The 21352-nt window shown below is 51.8% G+C and overlaps 1 protein-coding gene across 4 annotated transcripts in view, besides 4 other annotated features; it reads right to left on the bottom strand.

Annotated features, from left to right (window-relative positions):
- SEC14L2 (SEC14 like lipid binding 2) overlaps positions 1-16672 on the bottom strand; it is a 28286-nt gene extending 11614 nt beyond the window's left edge. For 2 of the 4 annotated variants that reach the window (NM_012429.5, NM_033382.3), the window contains exons 1-8: positions 16520-16672; positions 13972-14047; positions 7305-7348; positions 6536-6595; positions 6087-6275; positions 4408-4503; positions 4204-4264; positions 3011-3094 (exon numbers count right to left, since the gene is read on the bottom strand). In NM_012429.5, the coding sequence (NP_036561.1) occupies positions 3011-3094; positions 4204-4264; positions 4408-4503; positions 6087-6275; positions 6536-6595; positions 7305-7348; positions 13972-14047; positions 16520-16573 (664 nt within the window). In that variant the 5' untranslated portion in view covers positions 16574-16672. The remainder of the gene's footprint in view (positions 1-3010; positions 3095-4203; positions 4265-4407; positions 4504-6086; positions 6276-6535; positions 6596-7304; positions 7349-13971; positions 14048-16519) is intronic. The other 2 variants (NM_001291932.2, NM_001204204.3) reach the window with 2 other exon arrangements.
- Positions 10898-11398: an enhancer, noted in NCBI's record as "H3K4me1 hESC enhancer chr22:30798281-30798781 (GRCh37/hg19 assembly coordinates)". NCBI's record gives its function as "activates a minimal SCP1, AML or CMV promoter by ChIP-STARR-seq in primed H9 embryonic stem cells {active_cell/tissue: H9 hESC(primed)}" and the evidence as "EXISTENCE:reporter gene assay evidence [ECO:0000049][PMID:30033119]".
- Positions 11399-11899: an enhancer, noted in NCBI's record as "H3K4me1 hESC enhancer chr22:30797780-30798280 (GRCh37/hg19 assembly coordinates)". NCBI's record gives its function as "activates a minimal SCP1, AML or CMV promoter by ChIP-STARR-seq in primed H9 embryonic stem cells {active_cell/tissue: H9 hESC(primed)}" and the evidence as "EXISTENCE:reporter gene assay evidence [ECO:0000049][PMID:30033119]".
- Positions 16280-16339: a silencer, noted in NCBI's record as "silent region_13612". NCBI's record gives its function as "represses an Ori minimal core promoter by ATAC-STARR-seq in GM12878 lymphoblastoid cells {active_cell/tissue: GM12878}" and the evidence as "EXISTENCE:reporter gene assay evidence [ECO:0000049][PMID:35858748]".
- Positions 16360-16429: a silencer, noted in NCBI's record as "silent region_13611". NCBI's record gives its function as "represses an Ori minimal core promoter by ATAC-STARR-seq in GM12878 lymphoblastoid cells {active_cell/tissue: GM12878}" and the evidence as "EXISTENCE:reporter gene assay evidence [ECO:0000049][PMID:35858748]".
- Positions 16673-21352: the final 4680 nt, after the last annotated feature.

Genomic DNA, 21352 nt, shown 5'->3' with positions numbered 1-21352 from the left:
CAATTCTCGTGTGTCACCAAAAGATGAACATTGTGAAGCCTTCAGAATCCCTCTTACCTACCCCCAAAGTTCAGTGCCATAGGTGGCATTCACCCTTTCATGAGCCTGTCCCAATATACCTTTTTGTTTTGTTTTTGAAACGGTGTCTCACTATGTTTCCCAGGCTGGTCTCAAACTCTTGTGCTCAAGTGGTCCTCCTGCCTCAGCCTCCCGAGTAGCTGGGATTACAGGTGTGAGCCACCACACCTGGATGCCCAATCTACCTTTCTAGCCTTTTCTCCCTCCACTCCACTTCAGCAAAACTGAACTCCTGCCTGTCCCTGGCTGGCTTGATGCCTGTGTGTCCTCTTTGCTGGGTTTTGGGTCACACTTTTCCTTGTACCCTGATGTTGCCCCTACTTCCCTGCATATCCATTCCCTGTTGACTTGCTTCTCTGCCAACCTCATTAATCACTTCTCAGTCTCCCTGCTGGGTTCGCTTTCTCTGCCTGCTCTTGAGCTCGGATGTTCCCCAGGGTTCTGCCTCTGTTCCTCCGTAGGCAGTCTTACGTACTGACAAGGTTTTAGCTGCTGCTGTTATTTGATAACTCCCAAATCTCCAGACCAGAGTTTTCTCCTAAGCTTCAAACTCAGGTATTCCCAACATTTTTATATCTCACAGACTCCTCAAGCTCAACTTCAAGCTTTTTTGTTTTCCCCAGTTGAACTAATGCGTCACCATCTCTCAGTCACCTCTGCCAGACACCAGGAGCTCATTCTAGCTTTCTCCCTTACTTCCTACATCTAGTCAATTGAGTTCTGCTGTTTTACTTTCTATATAAGTTTTTTTTGTTTTTTTTTTGTTTTTTTGTTTGTTTTTTTTTTTTGAGACAGGGTTTTGCTCTGTTGCCCAGGCTGGAGTGCAGTGGCACCCATCATGACTCACCACAGCCTCGAACTCCTGGGCTAAGCGATCCTCCCACCTCACCCTCCCATGTAGCTGGGACTACAGGCACACACCACCAAACCTGGCTAATTTTTGTATTTTTTGTAGAGATGGAGTTTTACCATGTTGTCCAGGCTGATCTGGAATTCCTGGGCTCAAGCGATCCACCCACTTGGGCCTCCCAAACACTCACAAAGTGTTTGGGATTATGGGCCTGAGCCACTGCGCCTGGCCCTAAATAATTCTTAAATCCATCCTCTCCTCTCTATCCCTGTTGCCAATTCCCCGATTCAGGCTTGCAACACCTCTTGCGTGGACTGTGACAACATTGTGCCGAGATTGTACCACTGCACTCCAGCCTAGGCAACAGAGACTCTGTCTCAAAAAAAAAAAGGGGGTCCCTTGAAGGTCTTTTGGCCTCTCTGGGAAGGCAGATACAAACAAATCTATAGCTTCCCTAGTAGCTGGTATGTGCCACTATGCACAGCTAATTTTTTACTTTTTTTTGTAGAGACAGAGGCTCGTGCAAACTGGTAGCCTTCGCAATCTTGCTAGTACTGTGTCTTGGTTTAAAATTTGTGGTACTCCCCTGCTGAAAACTCTGATTCCCAGTGGCCTGTAGAGTCATATCCCAGCTTTTCAACCTAGTGCCCGGGATTCTCTGGGGCCTGACTCCTGGTTCCCTCTCCAGCCTCATACCTTGCCACACCCTGCCTCACATTCTATAACAGCTGCCTCTGCCATGCTATGTAAGGTCTTTGTTCAATGCTCTTCTTTCTGCCAAGCAGCTTCCTGCCTTGCTCCATCTGGCAGACTCTTACTCATTCCATAGCACGCAGCTTAGGTAGGCATCACCCCCTTCCTAGCTCAGGTGGAGTGGGTGCTCCCGCTGAGTGCTCCCATGCACTTTGTGGTTTCCCCTTCTGTACATTTACCACAGCATACTGATAGATTTGTTTGTGTCTGCTTTCCCAGAGAGGCCAAAAGACCTTCAAGGGACCCCTTTTTTTTTTTTTTTTTTTGAGACGGAGTCTCTGTTGCCCAGGCTGGAGTGCAGTGGTGCAATCTCGGCTCACTGCAACCTTCCACCTCCTGGGTTCAAGCGATTCTCCTGCCTCAGCCTCCCAAGTAGCTGGGATTACAGGTGCACACCACGACGCCTGGCTAATTTTTCTATTTTTAGCAGAGATGGGGTTTCACCATGTTGGCCAGGCTGGTCTCGAACTCCTAAGCTCAAGCGATCCGCCTACCTCGGCCTCCCAAAGTGCTGGGATTACAGGCATGAGCCACCGTGCCCAGCCAGGACTCTGTCTTATTCATCTTTGTAGTCTTGGCAGTAGCTCAGGCCTGGCACATACTATGTGCTTGTCAAATGAAGCTGCTCCTAGTTTTCCCCAACTGAAAGCAACCTTGCTCCTGCAACTTCTATGGCACCCTCTCTATGACTAGTCTACTGTCTTTTCTAGTTTATATCATAGCTTTCTCTCTCTAGGTCTTTTTTTAAAAAACAAGGTCTTGCTCTGTTGCCCAGGCTGCAGTGCAGTGGCATGATCATAGCTAACTGCAGCCTTGAACTCCTGGGCTCAAGGGATCTTCCTGCCTAAGCCTCCAAATAGCTAAGACTACAAGTGCACGCCATTATGCCCAGCTATTTTTTATTTTTTAGTAAAGACAGGGTCTCGCTTTGTTGCCCAGGCTGGTCTTGAGCTCCTGGCCTCAAGTGATCCTTTCACCTGAGCCTCCCAGTGTTGGGATTACAGGCATGAGCCACTGCACCCAGCCTCTCTTTCTAGGTCTTCTGTCTCCTGTTATACTGTAAGTTCCTTGAGGGCAAGGACTGGAGTCTCATTCATCTTTGAATCTACAATAATGGACCCAGTGCTTGCTTCTAGAGTGTCTGAGAGAAAGAGTTCTTAGGAAAACAGAAGAAGGCACTAGCTCCACCCCAGCTTGCTCCTGGGTCCCACTGCTCCCAAACTAGCAGAGGGAGCTTTCACCCTGGTGGCTACGGCCACACCCCTAAAGCTGGACCCGATTTAGGCTACAGACCCTCCTTTGGAGTTGAGAACAGTCTGGACCACTTACCTCCCAGGACCATGATCTTCTTACGAGTGTCCTCACTCAGGAAGGGTTTGATGAGGTTATAGGCCACAGGAAACAGTTTGGGGGCTGGAACAGAGACCAGATAATGTGAGGCTGGGAGCAGTGCCCAGTCTGTCCCTAACAGCGTCCTCTGCAGCACCTGCTACCCTCCTGCCAGCCCATGCTGGGCCACATGTTCCCCAGGGCTCTGGAGCCCACATAGGCAGCCCAGGGTGTGCAGCTCAGCATGGGCATCTTTGAGGTCCAGCCTTCCCATCTTTACAGTGGATATAATCAAATGGTCTCTTCCCATCTCATCAGGCTGGGTGGCTCAAAGGAGATTATAAATACTGAAAGCTCTGTGAGTTGTAAAGTAGTCTGCGTATGTGAAGGGCAGTGTTCTTTTTATTTTATTTTTTTGAGACAGAGTCTTGCTCTGTCACCCAGGCTGGAGTGCAGTGGCACAATCATAGCTCACTGCAGCCTTTTACTCCTGGGCTCAAGCAGTGCTCTTGCCTCAGCCTCAGTGAGCTCTCAGCTCACTGCATCCTCCACCTCCCGGGTTCAAGTGATTTTTGTGCTTCAGCCACCTGAGTAGCTGGGACTACAGGTGTGGGCCACCACGCCCAGCTAATTTCCATATTTTTAGTAGAGATGGGGTTTTGCTATATTGGCCAGGCTGGTCTTGAACTCCTGGCCTCAAGTGATCTGCCCACCTCAGCCTCCCAAAGTGCTGGGATTACAGGAGTGAGCCACTGCACCTAGCCCTATTTTTATTTTTTTGAGATGGAGACTTGCTCCGTCGCCCAGGCTGGAGTGCAGTGGCACAATCATGGCTCACTGCAGCCTTAAACTCCTAGACTCAAGCAATGCTCTTGCCTCAGCCTTTTGAGAAACTGGAACTACAGGCATGCACCACCATACCCAGCTCATTTCCTTAACTTTTTTATAGAGATGAGGTCTTGCTGTGTTACCCAGGCTGGTCTCAAACTCCTGGGCTCAAGAGAGCCTCCTGCCTCGGCCTCCCAAAGTGCTGGGGTTACAGGCGTGAGCCAGCACACTAGCAGGGGCAGCAGTCTTCTGAACATGTCCTCAGACCCCCTCTTTTGGCTCACTGTTTGACCCTCCATCTGCCGCAGTCATGTTTTTGACCCCTCTTTTCCATCTGGCTTTATCACAAGAAATTCCCAACTTACCTTTAACAACAAAAAGACGCTTCAGTGTTTCGGGATAATTTTCCTCAAACATGCAGAGAAACTGTGGAAACAAAATCACTCTTGATTCCAGCAGGCTCAGAATCTGCCCCCATTGCCTCACCCATCCCACAGGACAGCCTAGGAGAGGGGTCTACTCCTCCTCCCCTTCCCTCTGTCCCCTTCCTCCCCACCCCTGCCCCTCACCTCTCCATAGGCCTCCACAGCAGGCTTCCAGAGATGCTTGAGGCCAAGCCCCTCGCAGTCATAAATTATGGTGATGGTCTCCACCTTCCTCCCCAACTGCAGGGAACAGAGAGCAGGAAGTCTTGTCAGGCTGTCCTACTTCAGAAGCCCGTTCCAGTCCAGGCCAAATGATTGCACTGTGCATCCAGAGAGCAATCAGAGCTAGTTAGGGCCGGACCTAGAGTTTTCCAAACTGAGATAATCACCCCAGGCCAGAATTGTGGTCTAGGCGAGTCACTCTTCCTGCCTAGGTCTCTGTGTTCTTTTCCAGTACATGACTGGGTGGATCTAGATGACATCTGAGATGGCTTTGGTTCTGCAGTTTGGCCTGATGGCCTCCCCCTTCCTGAGTCACTGTGTGCTCTGTGCACGGTACCCGTAGAGCCACTTATGCCCGAGGACAGACGTTCTGTGCACCCTGAACCCTCAGGGGTGCATCCACGTCTAATGCTTCCTGCATCCCCAGCTCCGCAGGGTCTCTGCGCACAGTAGGCTCTCTGTGAACATTTGTAGATGAGTGTGGGAATGTTCCTAGACTTTATGACATCATTTCACTGGATCTTTACAACTGCTGAGAGGAGGGCAGGAGGGAAGTGGCAGCTCCTGCTTGTTCTTCAGTCTTTTTCTCAGTAAGGGAATCAGCTATCCTTATTTTTTTTGGCGCAGGGTCTAGCCCTGTTGCCCAAGCTGGAGTGCAGTGGTGCGATCACGGCTCACTGCAGCCTCGACTTCCCAAGTTCAAGTGATCCTCTCACCTCAGCCTCCCTAGTAGCTGGTATATGCCACTATGCACAGCTAATTTTTTACTTTTTTTTGTAGAGACAGGCTCTTGCCATGTTGCCCAGGCTGGTCTTGAACTCTTGGGCTCAATCTGCCCACCTCAGCCTCCCAAAGTGCTGGGATTACAGGCATGAGCCACCACACCCAGCCATCCTTATCTTTTTTAAATACAGAATTAGAGAAGCAAGAATCTGACATCATTTGCACCAGTGGTACCCAAATACTTGCTCAAGGATGGGTTGGTCCACAGTAAGATTTCACTGGGTCCCCATATAAATCAGAAAAATAACAATAATGTAGTGAGTTTTTTATGAAGCTAAATTTATTCAATTTAAAGGACTCCTTTTTTTTTTTTTTTGAGATGGAGTCTCTGTCGCCCAGGCTGGAGTGCAGTGGCACGATCTTGGCTCACTGCAGCTTCCTAAAGGACTGCTTTTTCATCTGAGATTATTGCCATTCTTATAGTTTTGGGTGTTAATGATGGCAACAATAGATGGTCATTGTTTTAAAGTCCTTACATGGCAAAATAGATATTTGGGAATATTCTAAAACTTGGAAATGTCACTGGTCTAGGAAATCCCAAAGCCTGGGCCTCGGCCAGGTCCAGTGGCTCACACCTGTAATCCCAGCACTTTGGGAGTCCGAGGTGGGTGGATCACTTGAGGTCAGGAGTTCAAGACCAGCCTGGCCAACATGATGAAACCCCGTCTCTACTAAAAAAGTTTTAAAAATTAAAAAAAAAAAAAAAAAGGCTGGGCCTTGGCCCTGAAGCTGTGCTTATATTCCTGTGTGACATCCCTGCTTCTGCTGGAATGCCTCTGCTGTGGTCAACTCATTTCTAGCCATGGTGGTCCACTCACCTTTGTGGTCTGGTGGGCACACTCTTGCAGAAGCAGCTCACACTCCCGCATCTTGGTCCTCAGCAGGTCCTGTTTGGAGGCTGAGAACAGCAGACCCTTGGCATCCAGAGGTCCAATTATGTCGTACCAGACTGGGCAGCCATCCAGGTCATAGCCACACATACCCCCTGACAGATACTGTTGGATCACCTGGGCAAAGACACAGAGGAGCCACCTGGTCAGCAGGCATCCATACCTTGCCTGGACCACAGGGCCTTACTCCAGGTTCATCAGTATCTTTCTCTACCTCCCTCTCCTGGGTACCAACAGATGCCCATTCTGGAGACCATCAGGGCTCAGTGGGCATTGTCAGACCTTTCCTCTAAGGATCCAAATCCAGTGGATCCAGGACCCAGGTTGTGGGTCTGAAAGGCCTAGCATAGGGATGAGGTGGGATAATTTGTGCTCACCTCTGGAGGCTGCCAGCTAATGATGTTGTCAATGTCCTTTTGCTTTCGGAACTCCACATGCTACAAAGATACAATGGGGAAATTTTTAAAAGGAGGGATGGACAGCCAGGCATGGTGGTTCACACCTGTAATCCCAGCACTTTGGGAGGCCAAGGCGGGTGGATCACTTGAGGCCAGGAGTTCAAGACCAGCCTGGCCAACATGGCAAAATCCCGTCCCTACTAAAAATAGAAAAATTAGCCAGCTGTGGTGGTGCATACCTGTAATCCCAGCTACTCAGGTGGCTGAGGCATGAAATCACTTGAACCCGGGAGGCGGAGGTTGCAGTGAGCTGAGATCGCGCCACTGCTGCACTCCAGCCTGGGTGACAGAGCGAGACTCTGTCTCCAAAAAGAAAAAAATAAAAAAGAAAACAAAAAGCAGGGATGGTGGGGGAGGTTTAATAGGCATGTAGCAATAAGCGACAGCGTGAATGGACCACCAGATCATAAGTGGTCACCAGAAGGCATTAGGCAGGAATGGAAAAGAAGGCCCTGCCTGTTTTAGAGGTCTTAGCAGAACAGATTATCATTCTTGGCTGGCCCAGAGCTATGAAAGCCTGTGTTGCCAGGGAAGGGAATGCAATTTGTCCCAGAGGGATAAGGCAACAGTGGTCGGCTAATACTCAAAGCCAAAAGCTGTGATTGGGATGGGAGGTGCGGCAAAAGAAGTCCACGCAAGGAGTGATTCTGATGGGGAGGAACTGAAGCAACAGCCAAATGTGTCTCACCTTCCGGAGCATGGCCTCCGACTTCTGCAGGTCGAAGCTTCTGGCTGTAACAGGGAAACAGTTCTGGTCAGGGTTAGGTTAGCAGGACTGGGTGTCCAAGGATGGGGAGATTCCCATATTCCCATGATAGGGCCAGTTCCTCTCAGTCATCTCTCCAGCTAACCCTCAGACCATCCTACAAGCAGAAGCTAACATGAGAGCCTTTACTGAGAACTTCTGGGGCACCACAGGCCCCAGGTTTGCGAGGAGAGCAGGTCAAAGTTCAGGGCAGCTGGGGGCAGCTATTGTAACTTCAGGGTCAAGAGAGCTTTACTCCAGTGGTTATAATCAACTTAAAGGTCTTCCGTCCTCTCAGTGAAAATGAACCCCGGATCCTCTTATCATTTGGCCTTCCCCCTTGCACAAAGTTTATCTCCTCCACAGTCTCACATCCAATCCTGAGACCTTGACACCACAGTTCAAAGATGAACATACCAGCCTGGGCAATACAGTGAGACCTCGTCTCTCCAAAAAAACAAAACAAAACAAAACAAAAAAACTAATTAGCTACAGGTGGTGGCATGCACCTCTAGTCCCAGCTACTTGGGAGGCTGAGGTGGGAGGATTGCTGGAGCCTAGGAGGTGAAGGTTGCAGTGAGCTGAGATCTCGCTACTATACTCCAGCCTGGGTGACACAGCGAGATCCCATCCCAAGAAAAACAAAAAACAAAGATGAATATAGCTGCCCCTGTAATCTGTGGCAGAGCTGGCAGAACATCCCAGTGGGATAGAGGGGTTGATGAGCCTCCACCCAACCTTGTCATGTCCTCAAAGGGCCCACACATTCCCTAAAGCCACACAAAGGGCCTGCCTCCCAGGGCTCCTGACAAGTTTCAGAATTCAGTTTCACCTGGGTCACCTCTTTATGCATGATGCCCCAAAAGTTGTCCTGCTCAAGCTTGAACACAAAGACCTCACTGACCCCCAAGGCCACTTGCTCCCAGGTAATCATAGCTGCAATTTGCACTCAGCTGATTGATACTGAGTTGAGATTCATTTCAGAGACACTCAGAGAGTAGGATTGCCTCCTTAGCCTCATGACAACACTTCCAAGACTGGAAAATTCTGTGCTTTCACTCTGCATCTCCCCTACCATCGTGCTGCCCATCCTTAGAGACTTTACGAAGCCCCACAGCTTGGTCTGAAGTCCATGCAAATAACTTCCCTTTGAGTGTTTTCCAATTTTCCAGAGCCCCCTCAGAGTGTGCTCTAAGAGCCACGCAGAGCCCCAAGTGTTGTCTAAGAACTCTCTTTTTCTTTTCTTTTCTTTTTTTTTTTGAGACAATTTCGCTCTTGTCATCCAGGCTGGAGTGTAATGGTGCAATCTCAGCTCACTGCAACCTCTGCCTCCCGGGTTCAAGCAATTCTCCTGCCTCAGCCTCCTGAGTAGCTGGGATTACAGGCACACGCCACCACACCTGGCTAATTTTTGTATTTTTAGTAGAGATGGGGTTTCACCATGTTGGCCAGGCTGGTCTCAAACTTCTGACTTCAGGTGATCCACCCGCCTGGGCCTCCCAAAGTGCTGGGATTACAGGCATGAGACATTGTGCCCAGCCTAAGAACTTTCTTGGCAACAGGCAACACCCTTAACTCAGGTGGAGCTTATAGGCACTGAAACCCCCCAAATCCTTTTCACCTGTGCCACTGCTAAGCCTCCATTGCATACATGGAGAGGAGAGACCTTAGATCCTTCCCTATCAAATTTCCTCTTGTTACAGTCAACTTCAGTCCATCCTTCAAAGAGTTTTGAGATCCAGATTCAGATCAATTTTGCCATCTGACCTATGAACTGTCCCTCCCAGTTGTATGTCCTCTGTGGATTTGGCATCTAGATTTGCTGACAGTTGTGGAACCTGGGCCAGACAGGCTGCCCTCTGGACTGTCACCGGTCCCTTAACCATCGCTCTCTGGGAGTGCCGAGCACATTCCCTGACTCTGCCGTTATGAAAATCAGTCCCTTCTCCTGGGCCCATAGGCTCCCTCAAGAGATTTGAACAATGCCACACCCATCACAGGTGCCGGACACGTCCTGGCAGAACTGAATCCCACCCTTTTTTGTGTGCTGCCATGGCAGCATGGGACAGCTTTTAGAGGAATATCTTCTGGGTTTGCATCCCAGCTCTTCATTTCTCTGCTTGACCTTGGACAAGATACTGTACATCTCTGACCAAATCATCTGATAAGATAGAAACACTTGGAAGATGCAAGGCACTGTCCTCTCATGGTGGGGGAGTTGGGCCATGAAAATGAGAATCTTCCATAGGAAGGACACCACTATTGTGAGAAGAACCCTTATCTTCTTTTTTTTTTTTTCTTTTTTTTTTTTTTTTTTTTGAGACGGAGTCTCGCTCTGTCGCCCAGGCCGGACTGCGGACTGCAGTGGCGCAATCTCAGCTCACTGCAAGCTCCGCTTCCCGGGTTCACGCCATTCTCCTGCCTCAGCCTCCCGAGTAGCTGGGACTACAGGCGCCCGCCACCGCACCCGGCTAATTTTTTGTATTTTTAGTAGAGACGGGGTTTCACCTTGTTAGCCAGGATGGTCTCGATCTCCTGACCTCATGATCCACCTGCCTCGGCCTCCCAAAGTGCTGGGATTACAGGCGTGAGCCACCGCGCCCAGCCAGAACCCTTATCTTCTTAGGGAACAGGAGTGGTGGCGAACTGTGAGCCCCTTATCTTGGGGAGGCTCTCCAGTTAACCCTTATCTGCCAAGGCCCAACATCCAGCATCTTCTGTGAGGGCTCTCCCAGAGTTGCCACCTGCTCTTGGCAGTACCACACCTGAGGCCTCCCCATGCCTGCTTGAGGCCTCTCCAGGCTCCTGCTGCCCTGGTCAGGGGCAACTCAAAGCATGGCTTGGGGCACTGCAAGAACCCAGCTCAGGAGCAGCTGTCTGGGTGGTGGTGGTTCATTCATTCCCTAGACCTGTAAAATGCAGAGACTCAGACCCGCTCTGCCTCCCTCCCAGGGCTTCCACCACTTCCTTGTTTTATCCTGCTCTCTGATCCTTCTTGCTGGGGTGCCCAGAACTCAGCCTCAGTCAGGGGGAAGCAGAGGAGACTTGCGGACCTGCTCTCCATGCCTGGAAGCCAGCAGAAAACTGAAGCCCTCAGTGGAGAAAGGGAGGGAGAGGAGCCCCAAGCACACACCTGGGTTAGGGACAGACATTCTGCCCGTGTGTGACTTTTATGAAAGGTCTTTGTCAGATTGAAGGAGAGAAAGAGAAAAGGCTGTTTTTTTGTTTGTTTTGTTTTGTTTTATTTTCTTTGAGACAGAATCTTGCTCTGTCGCCCAGGTTGGAATGCAGTGGTGCGATATAGCTCACTATAGTCTCAAACTACTGGATTAAGTGACTTCCCACCTCGGCCTACCGAGTAGCTGGGACTACAGGTGCACGCCACCACACCCAGCTAATTTTTTTTTTTTTAAGTAGAGGCAGGGTCTTGCTATATTGCCCAGGCTGGTCTTGAATTCCTGGGCTTAGGTGATCCTCCCACCTTGGCCTCCCAAAGTGCTGGGATTACAGGCATGAACCACCATGCCAGGCCTTGGTTTTTTGTTGTTTTTTGGGTTTTGGGTTTTTTTTAGGGACAAAAAAAAAAAACCCAATTGAGATTCATATTAGGTTCTGACCAGGCCTGAGCTCCTGCCCAGGAAATGTGAGGCACAAATGAAATGCAGAGGAGACACTTCCTCTGTTGTAAGAGGCTGAGCTTGGCTTTAAGGAGCAGGGGTGGCTTCCTGGAAAGGATACTGGCCTGGAGTCTGGAGTCCTAGGTTTCTGCCCTGATTCTGCTTCGCATTAACTGTAACTTCAGGTAAGTCCCCTCCCCTCTCTGAGCCTGTTTTCTCATCTGGCAAATGAGAATGACCGACCACATTCTTTGAATGACCGCCACTGTGAGGGGGTAGGGTGTGCCTGAAGTATGAGGCTCCCCAGGAATCAGGAGACCAGCTGCCAGGACCCCTGGCTGGCCCCTGCCTCAGTAAGAGAGCTGTGTTGCTGTTCAGTGGCTCTCAGAAACCATGCTTCTCCCCCAACAGCAGCTCCCTAGTCTGCTGGATCATTTTGCAACTGGCCCTTTAAGAAGGCTACTATCTTCCCACTCTCTCCACCCACCTGCTTCTAGCTGCAGCCCTTTAGCAAATGCTGGGCCAAAATTTCCTCCAGCCTGAACTGATTCCACTGCCGCCCCCACACTACCCCTCCACCATCTCTGGGCGGTGGACTGGGGTAGGGGGATGGTATGGAAGCTTTTTTGGGGAAAGGGGCAAGTGACACTTCCAGAGGCTCCTGGATGGATCTGCCCTCAGATGTTTACAAGCAGCCTCTCAGGAGCGTGCCAGCTCTGTGAAATTTCTGGAAAGAAAAGGAAAATACATCTCTTCATCTGCCCCAAGACTCCTAGGGTGTGCATGTGCATGTCTTTATGTGTCCATAAAGAAATAATAGGGCCAGTCACAGTGGTGTGTACCTGTAGGCCAAGCTACTCGGGAGGCTGAGGTGGGAGGATCACTTGATCCCAGGAGTTTGAGGCCAGCAAGACCCTGTTTCAAAAGTAAAAATAGGCCAAGGCGGATGGATCATGAGGTCAGGAATTCGAGACCAGGCTGGCCAACATAGTGAAACCCCGTCTCTACTAAAGATACAAAAAAAAAAAAAATTAGCCGGGCGTGGTGGCGCATGCCTGTAATCCCAGCTACTTGGGAGGCTGAGGTAGGAGAATTGCTTGAAACTGGGAGGTGGAGGTTGCAGTGAGCCGAGATCGCACCATTGCAGTCCAGCCTGGGCGACAGAGTGAGACTCTGTCTCAAAAAAAATAAAAATAATAAAAATAAAAATATAAAATAAAAATAACAGCCAGGTGTGGTGGCTCACGCCTGTAATCCTAACACTTTGGGAGGCTGAGGTGGGCAGATCACCTGAGGTCAGGAGTTTGAGACCAGCCTGGCCAACATGGTGAAACCCTTAGCCGGTGTGGTGGTGGGAGCCTATAATCCCAGCTACTCAGGAGGCTGAGGCAGAAGAATTGCTTGAACCTGGGAGGTGGAGGTGGCAGTGAGCCGAGACTGCACCATTGCACTCCAGCCTGGGCAACAGAGCAAGACTCCATCTCTAAATAAATAAATAAATAAATAAATAAATAAATAAATAAATCACTTGAGACCAGGAGTTCAAGGCAGCAGTGACCTACGATCATGCCCATTGCCTGGGCAGCAGAGTGAGACCCTGTCTCAAAAAAAGAAATTAAAATTAAAATAATAGGGCATAATTTGTACTTTAATATTTTAGGATATGATTCTATACCACACTTTGGGAGGCCAAGGCAGGCAGATCACTTGAGGCCAGGAGTTCGAGACCAGCCTGGCCAACGTGAAACCTAGGTCTCTACTAAAAAGAAAAAAAAAAAGGTAACCTTCTTTTTTTTTTTTTTTTTTTTTTTTTTTTTGAGACGGAGTCTCCCTCTGTCACCCAGGCTGGAGTGCAGTGGCGAAATGTCAGCTCACTGCAACCTCCACCTCCCGGGTTCAAGCGACCCTCCCACCTCAGCCTCCTGAGTAGCTGGGATTACAGGTGCCCGCCACCATGCCCGGCTAATTTTTGTGTTTTTTAGTAGAGGTGGAGTTTCACCATGTCAGCCAGGCTGGTCTCGAAGTCCTGGCCTCAAGTGATCTGCCCGCCTAGCCTCCCAAACTGCTGGGATTACAGGCGTGAGCCACCGCACCTGGCCATAATGGAATTTTCTTTATTATTTCTATGTCTGTTAATAAAATTTCTATATAGAGGGGAAAAAAAGTGTCAGAAGAATCAGGGAGGGTGGCACATGACCTGAATCACAGGAAAGGAGAGGAGGGGAAGGAATGGAAACATCTCAGGGATTGGGGCACCAGGCTGAATTTGACCCTCATGCCAGTAGAAATGTGTGCATTTCAACACCACATGCAGAGTTCTGTCATGTCACGTCTTGCAGCAGGCAGGTCTTGTCCTGCTCTTCCAGAGGAGGATCCTAGGGAAGTATTTACCCTGAACAAGGCACCACAGCCAGGCTGGGGAAGAGCTGGAACCAGGACCTGGGCTCTAGAGCCTGGTGGTGGTTTGAGGAGACTCTTGTCACTCTAGGTCAGGCTGTGCCCCTCAGGTTCCCCATGCACTCTGCCCCTCCCTCAAGTTGCCTAAACTGTGGTCTGCAGGGACCTGCCATCACACTAGGGCATAGCAGGGGCCAGGACTCTGGTTCTACACTTGGCTCTGCCTCCGACCCCCCACATGGCTGGGGCCTTTCTCACTTTTTCTTCAGCCAATTTCCCCAACTCCATCAGCAGAGCAGATTTCTTGAGTAGATGGAAAAGGCTGTGGGCCAAGGGTCAGCCGACCTGGACTCTCCCCTTTTCTCTGCCTGCAGTTCGCTCACTGTGTGGCTTGGAACAAGTCACTTGACCTCTCTGAGCCTCAGTGTCTTTATCCACTAGGAGGGTTGAGCTTATGTCATTGCCAAGGGCCCTTTGGCGCTAAAGGTTGGACACTCTAGATGCCTCAATTGCCAAGGGCAGGGTTTTCAGAGGGTGCTATTCTGTTGCCCAGAACAAGCCCCTGCCCCAGCCTCCCGCAGCCCCTCTTCCCTCACCTCGGAGCCAACGCAGGAGAAAATAGTCATCTGGATTCGGCAGGGCCGGCAGCACATCCTGGACATTCTCCCGAAACTGTAGGGAGAGGCATCGGGGTGAGTGGTAGGGCCCGCCCTGACTGCTGCCCTCTGCCTAGGACTCTCCACTGAGATCTTTGCTGGACGCCTCTTTCTTTGTTTCTTTTTTTTTTTTTTTTTTTTTTTTGAGATAGAGTCTCGCACTCTCGCCCAGGCTGGAGTGCGGTGGGCGATCTCCACTCCCTGTAAGCTCTGCCTCCCGGGTTCACACCATTCTCCTGACTCAGCCTCCCAAGTAGCTGGGACTACAGGGGCCTGCCAACACGCCTGGCTATTTTTTGTATTTTTAGTAGAGACAGGGTTTCACCGTGTTAGCCAGGGTAGTCTTGATCTCCTGACCTCGTCCTGATCCGCCCATCTCGGTCTAAAGTGCTGGGATTACAGGCATGAACCCCCACGCCCGGCCAACTGGACTTCTCTTTAACATAGTTCAACTCTGCAGACACTCCCTGGGCACTCATGCTGCCTGGAGCACTGTCTTGTCAGGGGGTGCCAGGTTGCAGGGCAGGAAGTGGGAAGGGAGTGAGACACTGCCCCTGCCCCACAACAAGGGCTCCCACACACCAGTCTGCGGGCAGGCAGATGTGTTCCCAGCTAATCGTGATAGTAGGCACTCTGATACGGACTGCAGTAAAAGCTGTCAGTTTACCAAGCATTTCCTGTCGCTCAGCGCTGATCTTGGCACCATAGCTTATTTACTCCTCACTCACAACCCGTAGAAGTATTGTCCCCATTCTACAGATGAAGGAATTAAAGCTCAGAGAGGCTAAGTAACATGCCCAAGGTCAAACAGCTAGTCATTAGCAGAGTTGGGATGCAAACCCGGGTCTGTCTGAGTCCAGAGCACACACTCTTTCCACCATGGTCTTCTGCCCCATGGAAGGATGAGGAGTTTGCTGGGGAGCAGAGGGAAGAAAGAGGTGGTCTCACACGGCTTCCTATAAAACATGGCATTTGTGCTGGGCTTGAAGGACTTCAAAGGCAGCGGGGGAGAGAGGTGGGCAACTCAGGTGGAGGGAACAGTTCCAGTAGGGGAAGCCAGGAAGCGGGAAAGTGCAGGTAGTGCCAAACAAAGGAGGTGGACAGTGACCTCAATGGACAGCCACACCTACCTCCAACCTCTCACTCCCTGGTAGGCGAACAGGCCCCTATATGCCCTCCCTGAGCCTCCTGCTCCCAGCCATTCACCTTTCCCTGACCACTGACCTAGAGGGCAGTCCCAGAGGACACTAATGAGGACTGGCCACCTCTGCCCCTTGCCTAGGTCAGCCAGGGACTCAGACCATCCCACCCCACAAAGCAGCTCCCAGTGCACCAGGGAAACTGCTCCTCCAAACTGCAGGCATGAAGCTACCCCTCTCCAAGGACCCTAACCAGCCCCTGGTCTCCAGTTTAATCACCACCTAATCCCTTCTCTGCCTGACCTCTCCTGCGAGTCAGCAGTAAAATCTGAAGCCTCCCTGTCCAGCCTTCCTGGGATGGGGGAGGCCCAGCCTGGGACAGAGGCTTTATGGAGCTGGTGCCTCCCCACTGCTGCCAGTGGCAGGATACATCTGCCCCCCGCCCCACCTTTCCCAGCCATGGAAAACTCCCCAGCTGTGGAGCCTCCAAATCTTGGGGCCAGACCCTATCGGCTCTTGCCCAGAGAAGAGCCGACCTCCTCACTCCCCAGGGGTGACAGATAAGAGATTTAGTTCGTGAAGAGGAAGGTCCCGCCCTCAAACTGTTGCCCCCTCCTTGTCACAGATGCCAAGGCAAAGCCAGGCTCACCTTCTTGCCTTCTGAGGAGCATAAACCTTAAGTCCTGAACCAGGCAGGGGTCTGGGATGCAAGATAGGGGACGGCTGGTCTCAGCTCAAACTAACACCAACCCAGTGCCTCATGGGGGGAGCCTGGAATTCACACACGGAGGTGTTCCCTTCAACATCATCTGGTCCAACCTCCTCATTCCATGGCATCGAGGAGCAAAGAGAAGGGCAGGGTTTTGCCCAAGGTCGCACAGCGGCTTGGTGCCGGGGCAGGAGCTATCCAAGTCTCCCAAGGAGCTATCCAGAGCCCTTTCCATCGTGCCACTGACCCTACAAGAAGAAAGCCTCCCGGAAATGGGAGGAAACTTGGGCCCCTGCCCCTGCCCCTGCCCCAGGGCCCGGCTGCCAGTCCCGAGGATGAATGTTGCCTTTGTGCCCTCAGCGGCCTCCGGGGACTCACAAGCAACCACTTGTCCCCAGGTGGCACCGCCACGGCTGCTCAGAGCTTGGGCGGGGGGTGGCCAAACTTCCTGGGACCTCGAGGGTGGCAAAGGGAGGAAGGAGCCATCCGCGGGCGCGGGCCAGGCTGGGACAGCCGCCTCTGTTCCCTCCGCCGCCCGCCACGGACCCTCGGCCCCCACCCAGCCCCGTCCCTTCTCGCTGCCGCAGGAGGGCGAGGGCCACAGCCCGAGGCGGGAGCCCGGGCCAGGGCTACAGCTCACCTTGGCCAATGCCTCCTTCTGCCTGGGGCTCAGATCGCCGACTCTGCCGCTCATCGTGGCTCAACCGCGGGGATGGGGTTTGGGGGCGGGAGGCGGCGGGTGCGGCAGCTGATGGAGCACAGACTCGTCCTCGCCGCCACCCGGAGTAAAGTCCCAGCCTTTTGCCCGGGCCGCGGAGCTGGCAGCCAAGCCCCGCCTCTTAAAGGATCCCGAGAGGCGGAGTAGGGAGCGATGCGCTGGGGCGCGGAAGGCTCTGACACGGGCCCCCTCCGCCCTCCTGAAGTCAGAGACCCAGGCAGGAGGCGAGCAAGTGTGCCCACTGGGACTGAGGCCAGTGGGCATCAGAAGGGCAGGGAGTCTCAGTTTTAGTTCCAAATTTATCCTTACCTCATTGTGTGACCTTGGAAGAGACACCTGAGCTCTCTGGGCCTCTGAACAAGGAGGGATTGAAAGGTGCTATCTAATGAGCTCTTCTAACCAGGCTCGCATAGTGCAGGACAGCACAGCATCCTGCACACAGGGATTGTTTTTGCATTGTTTTTTTTTTGAAACGGAGACTCGCTCTGTCACCCAGGCTGGAGTGCAGTGTCACGACCTCGGCTCACTGCAACCTTCGCCTCCCGGGTTCAAGCTATTCTCCTGCCTCGGCCTCCCGAGTAGCTGGGATTACAGGTGCACGCCACCATGCCAAGCTAATTTTTGTATTTTTAGTACAGATGGGGTTTCACCATGTTGGCCAGGCGGGTGTCGAACTCCTGACCTCAAGTGATCCGCCTCGGCCTCTCAAAGTGCTAGGATTACAAATGTGAGCCACGGTGCCCAGCCTACAGGGATTATTAATAAATGTATCCTGAATGAATGAATGAATGTAAGAACTGCTCCAATAGAGACACAGATCCCGGGGCTGGCAGAACCCTGAGAGGGAGAGAGAAACATAGATCATTCAGGGATCATGCAACTTACCTCGTTTAACAGCTAGGGAAACTGAGGCCCAGATAAGGCATGGCTTGCCCAAAGTTGTTAGTGGCATGACATATGTGGAGTGCCCACTGCCTGGCACATGGAAAGTGCTCAGCTGTGCCCTCCCCTTATGGCCTGGAATTAATGCAGAGCTAGGTCCAGGAGTCTGTGGGCATCTCGTCTCCCAGAGCCATACTTCTGCCCCCTCAACACTCAAGTCTCTGGGAGAGACAAAGCAGAATGTCCCCAGTCTCTCTCCTTACCTGGAGGCAAAGGCACCAGGCCTGTTAAAGACATTTAAGGACTTTGCTCTGCCCTTGGTGTGGCCCCCTCCATAGACGCCTGCTGCAGGGTGCAGAGTGAGGGTTGAGGCCCCCAACGCCCACCTCTACAGAGAGTTTTCAGGCAGTTCTGCCCTAGTTAGGCTCGCTGGCTTCTGGCCTGGGGCAGGACAGGGCTGCCTTCCTTACTGGATACATGGCTAAGATCTTTATATAAGACCCTTCCAGGGCCAGGATATTCTTTCCAGGCTAGAGCCTACTCAAAGGAAACTATTATAGAAGAACAGCATCTTGGCCGGGCGCGGTGGCTCACACCTATAATCCCAGCACTTTGGGAGGCCAAGGCAGGCAGATCACCTGAGGTCAGGAGTTTGAGACTAGCCTGGCCAACATGGTGAAACCCCGTCTCTACTAAAAATACAAACATTAGCTAGGCGTGGTGGTGTGCATCTGTAGTCCCAGCTACTCAGGAGGCTGAGGTGGGAGAATTGCTTGAACCTGGGAGGCAGAGGATGCAGCGAGCTGAGATCACACCATTGTACTCCAGTCTGGGGCGACAGAGCAAGACTCCCTCTAAAAAAAAAAAACAAACAAACAAAAAATAAAAACAAGAAGCACAGCCTCTTATATTGGTTCAGCAACTTAGAGCTCACAAGGTACCTTCAGATCTAGCTTGTCACTTAAGTGTGGGACAATCCTCTAAGGTAGGCAGGTCAGGTGACTTATTGAGGAGCCTGAGGGAGAGGTGGTCATAGGTGGGCACGTGCAGAGTTGGGACTTAAACCCAAGTTTGTGGTTTCTAGGCCGTATGCTCCCAGGCCAAGGTGTGGACGGGCCTGGGAACTGCCTGCGAAAGTTACCCACGAAAGTACAAGATCACCTTCACCCAGCAGGATACAGCCCTCCCCGCATCTGAAGTTACCCAAATAAAAGCCTCGGTAAAGAACCCTTCCCCAGGCCTGCCCTTCCCAGGTTCAACAGCTGCCTCTTTCTTCTTCCTCCACTGAGACTTAACCTACTTCTGGCCCACCATAAAACAGCTAGTTAATTTGATCATATAAATCCTAAATAGGCCCAGGCTCGGTTGCTCACACCCGTAATCCCAGCACTTCGGGAGGCTGAAGTGGGTGAATCACCTGAGGTCAGGAGTTCAAGACCAGCCTGGCCAACATGGTGAACCTCGTATCTACTAAACATACCAAAAAAAAAAAAATTAGCCAGGCATGGTGGCACACACCTGTAGTCCCAGCTACTTGGGAGCCTGAGGCAGGAGAATCGCTTGAACCCAGGAGGTGGAGGCTGCAGTGACCCAAGATGGCACCATTGCATTCCAGCCTGGGCGACAAAGCAAGGCTCTGTCTCAAAAAAAAAAAAAAAAAAAAAAAAAACCTAGCCAGGCACAGTGGCTCACGCCTGTAATCCCAGCACTTTGGGAGGCTGAGGCGGGTGGATTACCTGAGTTCAGGAGTTTGAGACCAGCCTGGCCAACATGGTGAAACTAAAAATACAAAAATTAGCCGGGCATGGTGGCGGGCGCCTGTAAACCCAGCTACTTGGGAGGGTGAGGCAGGAGAATCGCTTGAACCCAGGAGGCAGAGGTTGCAGTGAGCCGAGATCACGTCACTGCAGTCCAGCCTGGGCAACAGGAGAGAAACTCGGTCTAAAAAAAAAAAAAAAAAAAAACAAGCAAACAAACAAAAACACATAAATAAATAATCTGGTGAAGTCCTGGAGCTGGCTAACAAGAGAGAGTCCCTCCTTCCCATCCCCACTTTTTCTCCATCCCCTAATCCCTGCCCTACAGTTCTTCCTCCCTGCTAGGTATGTTGCACCCCTGCTCAAGAATCTTCAATGGCTCCCCGGTTCCTTCCTGAGTTGACTCAATCCCACTGATCTGCATTTGAGGCCTACCCCCACCCCAGCCCAGCATTCCTTGTGGCACCAACGGCCACTTGCCCTCTCCACACACTTCATTTCAATCTGAGAAGCTTCCCACTGTCCCTTAGACACACCTCTGCCCTCCTGCCTCTGTGAGAGCTGCTGCTGTGTCCTGTATCCTCCTGCCAGGTCTTCCCCAGCCCTCAAGACTCTGATCAAATACTGTTTCCAGGAGCTTCTCCCTGAGCTACCCAATGCAACACGACCTCTGCCAACCAGAAGTCCCCTTTCCTGGCCTTGATGTGGACTATTTTGCATTGTAGTGGCAACTCTCAGGGAATAGCATGGCCCAACAGGAAGAACCAGGCCTCCTGGGTCAGGCAGGCTGGAGGGGAGAACCTTCTGTGATGGGTGTGTTGCTCTGGGTATATCTTGCTGGGGACTTTGCTTAGGGGAACATAGAGTGTGAACAACTTAAAGAAGGCTGGTGGCACGCAGAGATCTAGAAGCGTTGGGATGGCAGTCCTAGCGTTGACAGAGCCCTGTGCTTCAGATTCTTCTGGGGGGCAGCTCTGGGCACAGGAAGGAGCACTGGACCGGGAGTCTGGTGTGTGGGCTGGAGACCATGTTCTTGCTTAATGTGCTGCCGTGACTATTCCACAAGACGCATATTTGGGGGTCTCCTCAGGGCTGCTGGCCGTGCCCTCTAGACCTTGGTTGTTTCCTCACTAAAATGAGGGCACTGGCCTTGAGATCAGAGGCCTCCTGCGTGCCCTGGCCTCAGAATCTGTGGTGCCAGGGGGAAGGGGGTGGCACAGAGATTGGCATTGTGATTTGAGAGTTGGAAAGAACAGTCTTTTAAACTCTTCACAAATATTTGTGGAACACTCTACTTCCACGGGGCCAGGGCAGCGCGAACTCTCTGGAAAACCCTTGTGCCTGCGGGCAGCCATGCAGAAAAGCCCTGGCCCCAACCTCCTCCCCTCCTCCCAGCCCAGCCCTGTGGGGCTTGCAGCTGCCTCAAGTCACCTGCCTCCTCTGGGTGTCTGTGATCTGGGGAGAGAACTAATCCCGCCACTGTGAGAATTCCAAGTGAAATAATGGCTGGGGAAGTGGTGGGCGCACACAGGTGAGGGATTATTATTCTATCATGTTGCTTCTGAAGGCACAACAGAGAGTGAGAAACTAAGCCTGTCTGGCTCCTCCCCCGAGCCCCACTTCCTCCTCACTTCTGCAGTCCAGCCTGGCTTTGCAAAGAAACAAAATCCTCTCCCCACCCCACTTCCCACACTCGAACCCCTGATTAAGTCCCTTACCTTCCTGGGTATCACTGTCTAATCCCTAAGCCCTTTCTCACCAGTCTCCAGTTGTCTCCAAGAGCCAAATCCCTTTAGAATGAGGTGGCCCAGATAGCTGTGAGCACAGAGGCTGGGGGCAGGGAGCTGGGACCTCAGGAGTCCCCCAGAGGGGAGGGGAGGGCCGGAGGGGTGCTGGGGCCCCTGCTATGGCTCTGGCACTAGCTGGCAGGAGCCTGGGGACTTCGCTTGGGAAGGATGGGTTGCCATTTCCACCCCAAATAGAGCTAAAATAGAGTCCAGATTCGGTAGGCAAGCTTGTTCCCACACCAGTGACCTCTCAGAGCAGAATGGCATAGGAGTGGGCCCACCAACTCTGGAACCAGACTACCTAGGTTTGGGTCCGGGTTCTATAACCT

The sequence above is a fragment of the Homo sapiens genome, chromosome 22, assembly GCF_000001405.40.
Source record: "Homo sapiens chromosome 22, GRCh38.p14 Primary Assembly".
In the NCBI taxonomy this organism is placed as follows: domain Eukaryota; kingdom Metazoa; phylum Chordata; class Mammalia; order Primates; family Hominidae; genus Homo; species Homo sapiens.
Note: the sequence above shows the minus strand (reverse complement) of the source record. Positions and strands in the feature narration are given on the sequence as shown.